The sequence below is a fragment of the Homo sapiens genome, chromosome 15, assembly GCF_000001405.40.
Source record: "Homo sapiens chromosome 15, GRCh38.p14 Primary Assembly".
NCBI lineage: Eukaryota > Metazoa > Chordata > Mammalia > Primates > Hominidae > Homo > Homo sapiens.
In genome coordinates this window covers 39934428-39950483 of record NC_000015.10, presented here as the reverse complement: position 1 = coordinate 39950483, position 16056 = coordinate 39934428, and the positions used below count along the sequence as shown (strand labels likewise).

At 39.1% G+C, this 16056-nt stretch overlaps 1 protein-coding gene across 1 annotated transcript in view, besides 1 other annotated feature; it reads right to left on the bottom strand.

Moving 5' to 3' along the window:
- EIF2AK4 (eukaryotic translation initiation factor 2 alpha kinase 4) overlaps nucleotides 1-16056 on the bottom strand; it is a 101477-nt gene that overhangs the window by 85108 nt on the left and 313 nt on the right. Inside the window, exons 2-4 of the mRNA NM_001013703.4 lie at nucleotides 10867-10979; nucleotides 6999-7101; nucleotides 1216-1368 (exon numbers count right to left, since the gene is read on the bottom strand). Of these exons, the coding sequence (NP_001013725.2) occupies nucleotides 1216-1368; nucleotides 6999-7101; nucleotides 10867-10979 (369 nt within the window). The remainder of the gene's footprint in view (nucleotides 1-1215; nucleotides 1369-6998; nucleotides 7102-10866; nucleotides 10980-16056) is intronic.
- Nucleotides 10473-10562: an enhancer, noted in NCBI's record as "active region_9219". NCBI's record gives its function as "activates an Ori minimal core promoter by ATAC-STARR-seq in GM12878 lymphoblastoid cells {active_cell/tissue: GM12878}" and the evidence as "EXISTENCE:reporter gene assay evidence [ECO:0000049][PMID:35858748]".

The following is a 16056-nucleotide window of genomic DNA, read 5'->3' as shown; positions in this document are numbered from 1 at the left end:
GAGTGGCTGGGATTACAGGTGCCTGCCACCACACCCGGCTAATTTTTGTATTTTTAGTAGACAGAGTTTCGCCATGTTGGCCAGGCTGGTCTCGAACTCCTGGCCTCAAGTGATCCACCTGCCTCATCCCAAAGTCCTGGGATTGCAGGCACAAGACACCACAACTGGCCTCAGTATACTTTTCTAACTGAGTTGTCCTACATGCAAGTACATGTTTTTAATGTTATCTGTCTTCTGTGCACTTCTTGCACGTTTGCTGTTAATATTAAAATACATTAAACTATTTTTAAACATATAGTTTAAAGAAAGTATTATGAATCACTTCAAGAATTATTATTTAATAAATGTGTTAGGAAAATGTCTAAGAAAAATATACTTAGGCTTTTTTTATAACCTGAATCAAAGTAAGTTCTAGATAAGTTGATTAAAGTGCTAAATAGAAAAAACAAATAAAAAATTTAAAACTTTAGAAAAATAAATTAAAATAAAAAAGGGAATTTAGTTGCATATATTATCTTTGATTTAAAAGATTTTAAAAATAAGACAAGAGTTTATATCTTTATGCAAACAGATTAAAGAAAAATACAAATGGTAACTATTTGTATTTAAACAAACTTGAATTTAAACAAATCTTTAGAATCTCAGCATAGGATATAAACAGGAGTTTATAAAATACAAATGGTAACCATTTAGATGCATATATTATCTTTGATTTAAATACAAATGGTATTTAATCTTTGTATTTTTTCTTTAATCTGTTTGCGTAGATATTAACTGTCTTATTTTTAAAATCCTTTAAATCAAAGATAATATATACATCTAAATGTTTGAATAAAAAAATTATTCTCTGGCTTTTGCTACTCATTTGGGCATGAGATACTAGTCTTGCACAGGGAAGAAGAAAATAGCTTCTAAAATGCAGTGAACTCCTGTACACCCTAACAAGCTCCAAAAGACCACAGGTGGTTTGGTTAAACAGCTTCTTTTCTCTTCTATTTCTTTAAGACCTGGACTGAGGGCTCTAAGGGACAGTACTGATATGTGTCAGGAGGGAATCACTCATATTTTTCATACTCTCACATGTGTCTACCTTTCTTGAATCAAAGGCTGAGCAAAACTTAAAGATAAGTTTGTAGGCAGAGACAGATAAAACCTACAGTAGTTTGCAATCCTCCAGGCTGGCCATGCACACAGACATCGACAAGGGCATCTCACCTCCTGCTCTTCTTTCCGCTTGGCCTCCAACAGCCTCTGCTGCTCCTCCTGAGCCCGCCTTTCCAGCATTTCTTCATGAAAAGACTTGGGAGGGGGCTTGTTATGCTCGCTGAGAAATGACTGCACGTGGTAAGCCAGTTCAAAGATCATCACCTAAACATGTAAACAAAAATCAACCACAAATGATCAAATAATGGGAAGGCCCAAACAGGAGAGGCTACAGAACAGGAAAGCAAACTGGCGGTCAGAGGCCCACTTAGAATGCCATTATTCATTTTGATATGACATACTCTGAATTCGGTATATGATATAATCACAGCAGGAAAAAGCTTTTAAAGGGCCCATTGCATTGTGTTATTATCAAGACAGATCATTACCTAGGTAAATAAAAAGCTTCACTTTTCTTTTATAGACCTATTCAACTTATTGGCATTTTCTCTATAGTAAATCCAATAAAATATATTTCTTTAGAAATAAATCTGACAAAACATTTAAGACTGCATGAAAGTAAAAGCTATCTTCCCAACTAGAAAACCTGTCCACATAATGAGAGTTGGGCAGAGAATACTCATTGCTAAGATCAGAGCTTTTTCTGTCTACCCAGCATACTGAAAATATTGTTGGGAGTACAGAGGCAAATATTTAAAGGCCTTATTATCTCCTTGTTAGTAACTGGTCAATAAAAAGCTGATAAATACTTAGAAAGTATTTTATTTCCACTTAGAGAAGCAGTCACAGATAGAATGTGGAAGAAAAAGGTCTCCCTTTCACACATTCTTTATGTGAACACAGGAAGCCCCTTTCCCTTACCCGCAGGAGACATAAATCATACTTAGGTTGATAAATCAATAGAACAAAGATTTCTGAGACCCTCCCTGACTGGTTACCCAACCCCAAAGAGGTAAAGAGTGCTGATCCTTTGGTGGATGAGGAACATAACATTGAGATTTTTTTTCTCAGTTACAGTGAAGCAATTTTAAAATTCTTATTTTCATTATATGTTTGAAACCGTTTCTAAAGGGACTTAACAGGGTGGTAAATAATAATAGAAGTCATTGTACCCAAAAATATAAAGTTAGTTCATTTGGTATCCTGCCTTTCTCTCAGGGAGCAAATGCAAAGAAAGCACAGCTCTTGCTGGGTGATGTTAATGCATTTTTTCTTACACCAGAAGCTGTGGCATTTACTGGATATATTTCACTTTACAGTCAGAAACACTAGTCTACAGTCTAAGAGGCAGGTTATTCTAAGAAAAGCTCTTCTAATGAAAGCTGGGGAAAGTAGGCAATTTCTATCATGTCAAAGAGAAACCACTTCTAAACCAAAAAGGAGGCAGGAGCCAAGCTGTGGAGGGTTTTTCTTTTGCTGTTCTATTTACTTTACTAGAGTTTTCTGTACAAATCAACCTGATAAACCTTCTAAGACTGGATGAAAAGAACTACTTTCCAAACTGACTCTTGCCTCCTACTCCCCTGGTGCTACAGGGCTCACTGGCCTCCCTCAGACCTCTGCTTAAGTCTTGGAGGCCTCTCCTGAATGCCTTGTAAAGAACAGCCACTCCACTGTCACACTCTCTAGACCGCTCACCCTGATTTTCTTCATGGCACTTATAACTGCCTGATTGGTTGTGCAGTTATTTGATTGCTTTCTGTCTGTTCCCTTCCCAGTGTAGCCCATGGTGTGGTTTGCTCACTGTGGTTTTCCCAGTGCTGGAATAGCACTTGACACATGGTACACAGACAATAAATATCTGTTGAGTAAATTAATAAAAAAATAAACTTTGGCTTTACAAATTTGAAAAAATAGAGTATACTTAAGTTTATTTTTACATGACAAAGAGCTGTGTATAGATTAAAAATCATTCATAAGCAATTGGAAGTGCTTAAGAACAAGCTGTTTTTGAGTACTTATTTCCATTCAAATAATTAAATGACTCCTAGTTTTAAAAGGCAAGTATCAGTGAATGCCATACCAAGATGAATCCCTATGCCATGCTTTAGTACCTAATTATACTCTATTTTACTTGAAAATAAAAAAATTTCTTTAGAATTATGTCTATTTTAGACTTTCCAGTACTCCAGACTTAATGGAAATGAATTTTAGATAAACAAGAAGAGTGATTTGCACAGTGCCTTCCCATGTTTAACACCCATTCAAATCTCATTATATGACGATGACTCAGATGAATGCTAGCACAGGCGGCCCTCTGAGACATGGCAGGTTCAGTTCCAGACCACTTCAGTAAAGCAAATGTCACAATAAAGCGAGTCACACAAAGTTTTTGGTTTCCCAGTGCATATAAAAGTTATGTTTACACTATATGGTAGTCTATTAAGTGTGAAATAGCATTATGTCTGTAGAAATCAATGTATATACCTTAATTTTAAAATACTTTATTGCTAAAAAATGCTAATGATCATCTGAACCTTCAGGACGTCATAATCTTTTTGCAGACAGAGGGTTTTGTCTTGATGATGGCTGCTGACTGATCAAGGTGGTGGCTGGTGAAGGCTGGGGTGGTTGCGGCAATTTCTTAAAAGAAGACAACAATGAAGTTGCTGCATCGATTGACTCTTCCTTTCATGGAAGATTTCTCTGTAGCATTCAATGCTGTTTGATAGCCTTTGAGTCACACTTGAACTTCTTTCAAAGTTGGGGTCAATCCTCTCCAACCCTGCTGCTGCTTCAAAACAAAGTTTATGAAATATCCTAAATGCTCGATTGTCATTTCAACAATGTTCACAGCATCTTCAGGAACCACTCAAGAAACCACTTTCTCTCCTAATCTATAAGAGGCAACTAATCATCTGTTAAAGTTTTATCATGAGGTTGCAGCAATTCAGTCACATCTTCAAGCTCCACTTCTAATTCTAGTAATAGACTTCTTGATATTTCCATCACTTCTGCAGTTACTTCTTCCAGTGAAGTCTTGAACCCCTCAAAGTCATCCATGAGGGTCAGAATCATATTCCAAACTCCTGTTCATGTTGATGTTTTGACCCCCTTCCATGAATCATGTATTTAATGGCATCTGGAATGGTGAATCCTTTCCAGAAGGTTTTCCATTTACTTTGCTAAGACACATCAGATCAAATGAATCACTATCTATGGCAGCAATAAGCTTGTAAAATGTATTTCTTAAATAATAACACTTGAAAGTCAAAATTACTCCTTCATCCATGGGCTACAGAATGGATGTTGTGTTAAGAGGCATGAAAACAACATTAATCTCCTTGTACATCTCCTTCAGAATTCTTGGGTGACTAGGTGCGCTGTCAATGAGCAATAATATTTTAAAGGGAATCTTTTTTTTCAGAGCAGCAGGTCTCAACAATGATCTTAAAATACTCAGTAAACCCTGCTGTAACAGATGTGCCATCATACAGGATTTGCCTTTCCATTTATAGAGCACAGGCAAAGGAGATTTAGCATAATTCTTAACGGTCCTGGAACTTTGGGCATGGTAAGTGAACACTGGCCTCAACTTTTGAAAAGTCAGCAGCTGTATTAGCTCCTAACAAGCGAGTCAGTCTGTCCTTTCATAAGGCTTTGAAGCCACACACTGACTTCTCCTCTCTAGCTGTGAAAATTCTAGATGGCACCTTCTTCCATATAAGACTGTTTCATCTACACTGAAAATCTGTAGCTACCTTCATCAATTATCTTAGGTTTTTCCGGGTAACTTGCTGAAGCTTCCTCATGAGCACATGCTGCTTCACCTTGCACTTTTATGTTATGAAGATGGCTTCTTTCCTTAAACCTCATGAACCAATCTCTGCTACCTTTTAACTTTTCTTCTGCAGCTCCCTCATCTCTTCTCAGCATTCACAGAATTGAAGAGAGTTAGGGCCTTGATCCAGATTATGCTTTGGCGTAAAGGAATGTGGTGGCTAATTTGATCTTCTTTCCAGCAAACTGTTACTGTCGGGGCAAACTGGGTAAGAGGTATATATAAATATATAATTATCTCAAAATAAAAATTTAAATCAGGCTGGGTGTGGTGGCTCGGGCCTGTAATCCTAGCACTTTGGGAGGCTGAGGAAGGAAGATTGCTTGAGCCAGGAGTTTGGGACCAGCCTGGGCAAGATGGTGAGACTTCGTCTCTCAAAAAGAAAAAAAAAAAAAATTTAAATCACAAATCAAAAATCCAAGAAACCAGAGGTTTCTCTGGAGCTGAATTTTCCAAATAACTTCACATTACTTTTCAGTTAGACACTGGAATCCCCTTGTACTAGAAAGAACTTTGGAATCATTTCCAAGGCCTAGTTTTTTATCCAGGCCGTTCTACACTCACTTTCTAAATCTCATCAATCACTGAAGTTCTTGGAAGCAGCAACTTAAATGGACACAATTTTTACAACTAAAAGGCATTCCATGGACTGTACTATGACTCATTGTGTTATGAAAAGCAAGTAAAAATCTGTCCAGTTACTTTCCATGAGATGAATGGTTATCTTTGGTTATGTCTAATAAAAGTCTGAAACAGACATGGAAGCCGAGGGCACCTCTTCTTAGTTTTCACATAAAGAGATCGTTGGCCGGGTGCGGTGGCTCACGCCTGTAATCCCAGCACTTTGGGAGGCCGAGGCGGGTGGACCACGAGGTCAGGAGATTGAGACCATCCTGGCTAACACGGTGAAACCCCGTCTCTACTAAAAATACAAAAAAAATTAGCCGGGCATGGTGGTGGGTGCCTGTAGTCCCAGCTACTCGGGAGGCTGAGGCAGGAGAATGGCGCGAACCCGGGAGGCGGAGCTTGCAGTGAGCCGAGATTGCGCCATTGCACTCTAGCCTGGGTGACAGAGCAAGACTCCGCCTCAAAAAAAAAAAAAAAAAGAGATCGTTAAACATAAGCTGCCAGGCAAAAACACTGAGTGATTTTACACAAAAGTGGGGCAAAGAAGCGTTATACTTCGAGGGAATTGGTCTGGCCTAAGGAAAGCACAGTCATACTCTGCCTCCAGAAGACACTTAGTCTTGCCTTCCACAGAGAGTTGTGCCACCCAGGAGAGAACTCATATGTAGATCCTAATGTTCAGAAGATTAAAAAAGAATGAGTACTGCACTCAGTGTAAATGCTCAGGTATATGACAGACACTGAAGGAGTAGAGTGTGTCACTAATTATTGAGAAAGAAAACAACAAATTCCTCTGATATGCAAAGGGGAGAGGTGGTCCGAAATTGTTTGTCTGCCCACATTTTCCAACAAAAAGGTTCAAGTCATGATGCAAGATCCAAAGTATACAAAAAGTATGGCTGGGTTCACATCAACTGTTTTCAGAAAAATTCTTCTTCTTTTTTTCTTTTTTTTTAAGAGAGAGGGTCTTGCTCTATGGCCCAGGCTGGAGTGAAGGGGTGTGATCATAGCTCACTGTAACCTCAAACTCCTGGGCTCACGCAATTCTCCCACCTCAGCCTCCTGAGCAGCTTGCACTATAGGCATACACCACCACACCCAGTTAATTTTTTTAGAGATAGGTGCTCGCCATTTTGCTCAGGCTGGTCTCAAACTTCTGGGCTCAAGTGATCCTCCCACCTCAGCCTCCCCAAGTGCTGGAATTACAAGTGTGAGCCACCATGCCTAGCAATTTTCAGAAACATTCTTCAGCATCAATAGTACCATCTATAGACTACAAATTTCATTAATCCTATTAAATAAATAAAAATCACAATGTTCCCTTTTGTAGAACCAATAAAACACAAAACATGCTACTCAAAATTGGATTTGAGGTGTAATGGGGAAGTTTACTGTCTTCTTTTAATTCCAGTTTAACAAATCTTACCTCCCCACAGTGTTTCTTGGCCAGTTCTTCTAGGCGAGATTTTAACAAATTGACACTTTCATTTGATAGACCTTTGGCATTTTTTAACTCTATTTCAGGAACTCTGGAAAAGGCAAAAAAAAAAAAAAAAAAAAGAGTTACTCCAGAAAGTATAGCCTGTTTGCATTAATATTTGCTAAACTGAAAGCACTCTGGGCCCAAGGCCCTTAATCTCAAAGGGACTTCAACCATATCCCTGCAACTCCAGTTGACAGTGGAGTCACCTGCGTCCTACAGGGAAGAAGTGGGCTGGCCAAAGCCTTCTGTCTGGGCTGTTAGACTTACTGGGCTTGACCCCTGTATCTAATTTCAGCTTTACAATCTGATTAAAATTTCCCAACATCAATTACTATTTATTTCCTACGATTTGACCTGGATCCCTAACTCTGAGTTCTTCACCTTAAAAAAAAAAAAAAATCATTCCAGTTCTGCAGCTGACTCTAGCCCAGTAACTTAACCATGTGCTCCTTTGTATGGTAATTCTCTACCCTAGCTTGCAGCCAATGAGAATTAACCTAGCTCTGACAGCTCACTGGCAAGGCCAAGCGCTCTGCATTCAGGTGTGCTCTAGCATAAAGCAGAACAAGAATAAATAGATGAGTGGAGCCCTGGTGATCCCTCTAGTATTCCCACAACACACTGCTGCATCCCAATCACTCATTCTGATCGAAACCAGGTGGAAATGCTCACTTCTTGTGTATAAATACATCTAGTCATGCACACTCTCTGCACCTCTGCCTAGAGCTCATCTAAGTCAACACTTTCAACTCAAGGACATTACACAACCAGCCCTCGGGTTTCATTTTATTCCCAACCAATAAATATCCAATAACAACTCTCTCAGATTAAATAGGAGTTATTTAATTTTACTGAAGAGATGATGACTCATCACTTTTTACCAAGCATTTCTGAGTAATTCATGGCATTTAACCAGTGAAGTCTTGAGTATGCACTTATCTATGCGTTCTCTCAATGCTTCAGTATGAAAGGGTGCTATGATCATTATCTATTTCTATAGATAGAAATCTGAGAGAAAGTAGTCTATATGAGGGAAAGAACAGAAAAACAAACCATACAGTCCTGACTCTATGTATGGAATCCTGGGTTAGATTCCTCCCCAAAGAGCTGGGATGGGGCTGAAATTTCTAGAATTCCTCCCCAAAGGTCTGGGATGGGGCTGAAATTTCCAGAATTCCAGAATCTAACCCGGGAGTCTCTCTCTCACAGTGGCACCCAGGACTATTCTGCAGAAAAGCAATGTTTTCCTGTACCACATTCAAAAGGATAAGAATATTACCCCAAATTAAGATTTTTGTTATAATTTAAAAAATAAGTAATCATAATATAGCAATATTAACAGAATGGAGAAAAAATCATCAATGATGCTAATTAAACTTCAAAAAAAATTCTAATGTTCTCTTTATTTCCTTGCTATATAATTCATAGTTTATGTAGCTGATATTATAATGTTTGCTTTTTAACTTTTATAAGCATTTCCATGTTAAAAGCAATCATCCCATAATATTTTTATCAAGTGGACACATTAAGATTTACCTGAATAGTTATCTAGTGCCATGATTCTTAACCAGGGGTGATTTTGGCCCCAGGGGATATCTGCCAACATCTGGAGACTTTTTTTGGTTGCCACAACCTGGGGAGAAATGTACTCCCGACATCTAGCAGACAGAGGTCAGGGATGCTACTAAATATCCCACAATGCCCAGGAAGGACCCCACAACAAAGAGTTATCTGCCCACATGTCAGTAGTGCCAAGGTGGAGAAACCTCACTCTAGTATTTGACATTTAGATTGCTTCCAATATCTTTGCTTTCACAAATAATGCTATAATTAATATTTTAGCACTTATATAACATTATAGCACTTATACCTTTTTCTTTATTTTGATTTTTCAAGAATAAACACTTTGAATTCTTGAGGCTATGGTATAATAAAAAAATATATATTTGATATTTGACCCCTGTTCCTGGCACAGAGATCCTATCACCCTTGGAATTTCCTGAGCAACAGGGGTGAGAGGAGCATCTTATGTTTTTCATAACAAACCCCTTCCAACCATACCGGAGTTAGTACTCATGAGGGAACTCTGGTCAGTACCTGGATAGCTTCAGGATCAGGACTGGTCACCAGAAAAACCAAGCCTTGATTACAGGGTGAGAAATTTCAGCCCCATCCCAGATCTTTAGGGAGGAGTAGGGGGCTGAAGATCAAGTTCAATCACCAGTGGCCAAAGATTTAATTAATCAATCATCTCTACATAATGAAACCTCCATAAAAACCCCTAAACGACAGGGTTCAGGGAGATTCTTGGTTGAAGAACACAGGGAGGTGCTGGGAGGGTGCCAGGCCTGGAGAGGGTATGGGAGCTCTGTGCCTCTTCCCACACACCTTACCCTTCATAATACTTCCATGTGGCTATTCCAGAGCCATATCCTTTACAACAAACTGGTAAATGTAACTCACAGAAACTGAGTTCTGTGATGCATTCTAGCAATTATCGCAACTTAGGAGGGGGTGGTGGAAACCCCTAAATTTATAGCCAGTTATAAATACTGGCTATAAATGGTCAGAAGTACTGGGACTTGCCACTAGCATCAGAAATGGAGGCAATCTTGTGGAACTGGGTCCTTAATCTGTGGGGTCTTTGCTAACTACAGATAGTGTCAGAATTGAACTGAACTACTGGACACCCACATGGTATCAGAAAAGGCATCATGTATTTGGTGTCAGGAAAAAAAAACAACCTAGAGAGGCACTCTTTTAATTTCCTTTCATAAATTTTTAATTATCTTTTTCATTAATGTTTTATAATTAACGTTTCGTTAATTAATATTTTTATAGTATGTATAGTATACCTACTATAATACTCTCAGGACAGTTTTGGGGGCCAAGAATGGTTACTGACTTCAAGGAGCTCAATTTTGACTTATCTGTCTTTTCATATCCTCCCTATCACTTCTTAGGATAATAAATTCCATAAATTTACCACCCACTGTGTAAAGCAGAGTTTCCTTTTACTTGTCCCTTTCCATCTCAAAAACCTTCACTGGTTCCCCATACAATAATTTCAAACTACTTAACGCCATCCAGGCCAACCTGCCTTTCCATGTGGGATGGGTGGGGAAAGATTACACCAAATAGACATGCTTAAGTGCTGATGGCTAACACTTTGGCTCTAACTAGTTTTTCTCAACCAGAGGTGACATCACCTTCAGAGGGAGTCTGGAAATATGTAGGTTATTTGGTTGTTTCAATGCCTGGAGGACACTCGTGGCATTGGTAGGTGGGGGCCAGGGATGCTAAACGTACTGCAGTGCACAGCACAGCCCTGCACAATGGACACTCGCCAGAGTGCCCCATTGAGAGGCAGGACAGATCCAAATACTCTCCCTCACTCTAGGCAGTGAAAGGTCATCTGAGGCACAGACTTGCTGAATTTCTAATACCAGCCACACTCTAACTATGCAAGGGCTTTCAACAGTCACCATGCCTTTATTGTTTTCTTCCAAATTTTCCTCTTCCTAACTTATGAAGAAATAAATAAACAAAAGTTAACACATCAGAGGAAGCAAAATAGTCACTAGGCAAATATAAGTATCTGTAGTGACAATTCTATAACTATGAACAGGCTTAAAATGAGACAGGTTTCATGAAAACATCTATTGCTGATGTAGTTTTGTTGAAATAGAGGAAATGAAATTTTATGTGGAATGGGAGCAGGAAGGAGAAAATACTACGAATTTCAATCTGTTTCTATGTTGTCAAAACAGAAAACTGAAACCACGTCAAAGCTATTTATAAATGTACTCACACATCTGGATAGGTAGGTGGGCATTTAACCCTCAAATCCACTTTTACATATACTTCTTCACCAGTTAGGCCTTGAGGGTACAAAACTAAATTGATTTCAGGGGGCTCTTTGACCTAAAAGAGGAAAAACAAAAAAAATTTTTTTCAAAGCTGTAGAGCCAATCATTAATGATTAAGATAATGATCATTTTAGATCAAAAGTTCTACTTTAAAAATATTTGTAATTATATTTTAAATAGATAATCTGGCATACTTTCCAAAAGCATGATTTAAAAACAAAACCTAAGCCAGTGAAAATGCACTTTCCTTTTTTAAGTTATCTAAGGAATGAACCAAAATGTTCCACTCAGCTTCCATTCGTTCAGATGTTACTGAGTTATTATGCCTGGGTGCTCTCCTGGAAGCTGGGAGTGCAGGGGTAAATTTAGACAGACACAGTCCCAACCAGCTGATACAAACTAGAAGACGAGTGATTTCAAATAGTGATGAGTGCTGTAAAGAAAACAAAGCAGAGTAGAGGGACATAGTGGTGGGCGAGGAGAAGGTATCTGGACAGGTAGGTCAGTGAAGGACTCTGCGAGCAGGGGAGATTTGAATTGAGATCTGAATACTGAGATATTAACAAATGAAAACCCTTGACAAGGAGAGAATTGCATATGTTTTCAATCAACTACTTTTCACCAAATCGCAAAATACCCTTGTTCTTCAATTTAGATACACTTTTTCCAAAGTGGATTTGAAGTAGTTCATATTATATGTATATAATGAACAAGGGGAGTCTGAGAGAAAAAACAATGGCTGAGCGCTCCCATGGTCCAGGCACCTTACCAACTTTGCAAGGCAGGTGTCATCTCCATTTTACAGATACAGAAGCTCAGGCTCAGGGAGTTTTACATTCTTGCCTACAGATACACAGGGACAGAGCTGGGATTCAAACCCAGCCTTAACTCCAAACCCTGTCTCCTCCCATAAGCCACTCTTTTATTATGCCATCCTAAGTTGCTGGGATTGAGCCTTGATTTTTTTCTCTGAATGTCCTGGCAGGCAGGGCAAAAAGAGAAACGTGGTATCATCAGAAAAGAGAAAGCCTAAAAATTATTTTAGGGAAGCAAAGTACTTATAATACTAAATTCTAACAGAAATTTATAACGTGAACCTTACAAGGAGTACCATATAATAAACACTGTACTCTTCTACTATGTGTACAAAATTTGTAAGATCAGTTCTTATATGGCTTTATAATAATCCTTGATAAATGTGTGGGTCCTTCCATAAAGCATAATTCTGCGAATGTGGTCTGGGGAAGGGTTAAGCACTCTTTGGTCCACAGGTCTTTCATCCACTCATTCACCCATCACACATCCATCACCCATATTTGCTAAGCACTGACTCTGTGTCAGGCACTGTGCTTAGTCCACGGAGGTGAGAACACAGATATGGTTCCAGCTCTCATGGAACTTCAGTCTGGTGGGGGAAAACAAACATAATAAACACATAAGTACAAGCTTAGAGAGTGCCGTTGAAGAGATGACGTGGTGCTCTCCTTAACAAACGACTTGGGGTGTGAGGGTATATACTTAAATGTGGTTATCAAAGAAGAACTATCTGAGGATGTAGCATTGAAGCTGAGACAAGCCAAGAGACCAAGCATTCCAGGCAAGGAAAAAAAGAGACTTGAAATACATTTGAGAATTATTTCATTCAGTAACAATTTTTGAAAGTTTTTTGTTTGTTTTACCAGGCACTGGGCTTGTAGGAATGGCATTTCAAATGAGTGGAAGACACTGAAAAATTCAATTGCCTATATTTGTCTAGCTGCCTAGCTGGAGGAGGAGGGATGCACACGGGGAGGTGGCCTAGGCCCGTACTTTGATGGAACGAAGAACTTAAAAAAAAAAACCTACTTATATCTTTATTTGATGAAAATTTAAAAACGAAGTCATGAACAAGTTAAAAGTAAACTTTGACGAATTTGGTTTTTAGTAACATTGGAACAGAGGGGGAAAAAAAACCCACAGGGACCATAAAAGAAAAAAAAGGTCATTTTGACTCTATCAACATTTTTTAAATCACATAAATTACGTAAATAAATGCATATAATTAGGAGAAAAATATATGCATTATATGACCCAAAATGCTAGTTTTCTTAAGATATTTAGCTCTTACAAATAAACAAGAAAATGGACCACAGAGTAGAAAAATAAACCAGAGTATGAGCAGTTCACAGAAAAAGAAAAATCAATGGTTTGTAAACAAAGGTGTTCTAGATAATTTATAAATAAATAAAAATTAAAATGAGATATGTTTCATTTATGTGGCAAAGATGAAAAAGTCTAACATATATAGTATTGTTGAAGATAAAGGAAAACAAACACCACCATACACTACTGGGGGATCCAGGGATTGAAGCAAGTTTTTTGGAGGGATGTTTCCAAAAGCTATCAAATTATAAATGAGCAGACCTTTTGCTGCTGTGGAAAGCTAGCCAAAATAAGTTAGTAATTTGTAACTATCTATAAATTATAGATACTTTAAACTAGCAGTGTCTAAACTTTTTACAAATGCAAAAGTTTTTAGCATGCACCTCAAAATGTTATTTATAAATGATATACATATGCTACTAAACTGAAATTTATATTACAACACATCCCCACTAAAAGAAGTTGAAAAAAAAATCTAACCTGAATTTATTGGCAGCAAATTTAGCCTGAACTGACATGAGGTTAGTTATAGTGTTTATTTGTTCAGTGTGAAATTTGAGTATTTCTATGTTTCATTGTGTTTGATTTTCGATGCTGCCCCAGACACTGAGGAAGGTATTAGGTAATGTGTGGAATGTGCACACATAAACGTGAACAGAAGCACTTCTGAATTCTGAAACCCATCAAGTCTCAAGAGTTTTGGATAAAAGGCTGGGCACGGTGGCTCACACCTGTAATCCCAGGACTTTGGGAGGCGAGGCGGGAGGACTTGAGGTCAGGAATTCGAGACCAGCCTGGCCAACATAATGAAACTCCATCTCTACTAAAAATACAAAAATTAGCCAGGTGTGGAGGCGGGTACCTGTAATCCCAGCTGCTCAGGAGGCTGAGGCACAAGAATCGCTTGAACCTGGGAGGTGGAGGTTGCAGTGAGCCGAGATTGCTCCACCGCACTCCAGCCCGGGCGACAGAGAGAAACTCCCTCTCAATAAAGAGTTTTGGATAAAGGATTTTGGACCTGCATCACTTTTCCCTGGCAAATAGCAGGTGATAATAAGTGCTTGTTGAATGACTAAACTCTGATTCATCCTTGAGACCATCAATTATTTGCCTGCCAGTCCTATGAATGTGTTGAGGCCATTTGCCCGGTGTACAATAGGCCACAGACAGCTATTTAAATTCTTCTGCCTGCCTTCTATAGTTTTTGCTTTGGTTTGTCTAGTATTCCATCTTGTTATGAAAGCCACCAGCTATAAATTCTTGAGGTTATCAATATCCCTACCTAAAAGAAGTTGCTTTTTCTCTTCCATTTTTCTGCAGCCCTAGGAGCAGACAACTAAGCTTGTATAAAGTAAACAAACTAGTTCAGAATGAAGCCTTAGGAGCTTTGTGTTGAGTCCCATGTACACTTTGAGACACCTATTTTGGCTGCTTCTTGGGCCTACTTCCTGATTCTCAAGGTTTGGGAAGATAGAAGTTCCCCAGTCACCAACTTCTCTGTCATGTTAAGGGGAATAATTTATATTTTTACCATTTCAGGTTAAAAATAACTTCATATTATTAAGCATTAGAAAAGTAAGCTCCCTGAGGGCAAGGATTTTTGTCTGTTTTGCCCACAGCTGTATTCCTAATGCCTAAAACAAATATTTAATGAAGGAAGAAGCACCCTGAGTTTGAGAGAGAATATTTTGTCCTGATAGCTCCAGAAGATGGTATTTCTTGAGGAAATCCTGGATGTGTAGATAGAGCAGATGTTGTGAAATGCCAAAGTTAAAAGCAGATGAAGAGGCCAGGCGCGGTGGCCCACACCTGTAATCCCAGCACTTTCAGAGGCCAAGGTGAGAGGATTGCATGAGCTCAGGAACTTGATACCAGCCCGGGCAACAGAGCAAGACTCTGTCTCTACAAAAAATTAAAAAAATTAACCAGGTGTAGTGGCATGTGCCTGTAGTCCCAGGTACTTGACAGGCTGAGGCAGAAGGATTGCTTGAGAATAAGCTGCAGTGAGCCGTGGTCATGCCTCTGCACTCCAGCTTGGGAGACAGAGCAAGACCCTGTCTCAAAAAGAAAAAAAAAAAAAGCAGATGAAGTTAGAACTATGTTTTAAATGATAATATGATAATATTCAGAAATAGTTTGGTAGATCAACTCTTCAAGGATGGGGAAAAAACTGTCAGTATAAATACTTTATAACGTGCCTTAATTTCCAGACAAAAAGGCAAAATATTATTTTAAACAAAATGCCATTTTAAAAGGTCTAGAGCTAGAGCAAGCTGGTCTAACCCGAGGCCCATGGGCCGCTTTGAATGTGGCCCAACACGCATTCGTAAACTTTCTTAAAACATTGAGGTTTTTTTGCGAATTTTTTTTTTCTTTTAGGTCATCAGCTATCCTTAGTGTTAGTGTATTTTGTGTGTGGCCCAGGGAAGCCAAAAGATTGGACACTCCTTCTCTAGACTCAGTCTAGAACCCTCTCTCTACTACAGCTAAGATGAATGTGTGCTTTATTCTGAGCTAAATGTCTTAGAGGAAGGTGCAGAGGTATGGAAAGTTCCTCCATACCGGAAAACACAGTGAGGATGCCTGGGGAGTACAGAGGGAATTATGTGGCGTGCAGATTTGAATGCATGGATGAGACTTGAGAATTCTGATTGAGGACGTAAGGCCTGTGCGAGAGCCCAAAAAGCGTTCTCAGAACAAAGTAGCAAGGGGCGCGTATGAATTGCTGTGGTATCATCCGCAAGGGCTTTCAGAGGGGAAAAAGGACAAGGTTGGAAGGAGGCAGTTATGTTATGGGATGTAGGCAGGAATAAGAAGCAGTGCCAGGTAAGAGGGAGGAATCCAGGGGGATTCCTCTGGGGAAATCATGGGGAAAGGACTGTAGAAGAATTCGGCCTAGGTGGGATTCTGCAGACCAGCTGCAGGTGCAAGGACTAAAGTGAGCATGGGTGGAACCTAAGGGATGAAAAGACTGCAGGATCCTAAAGCGG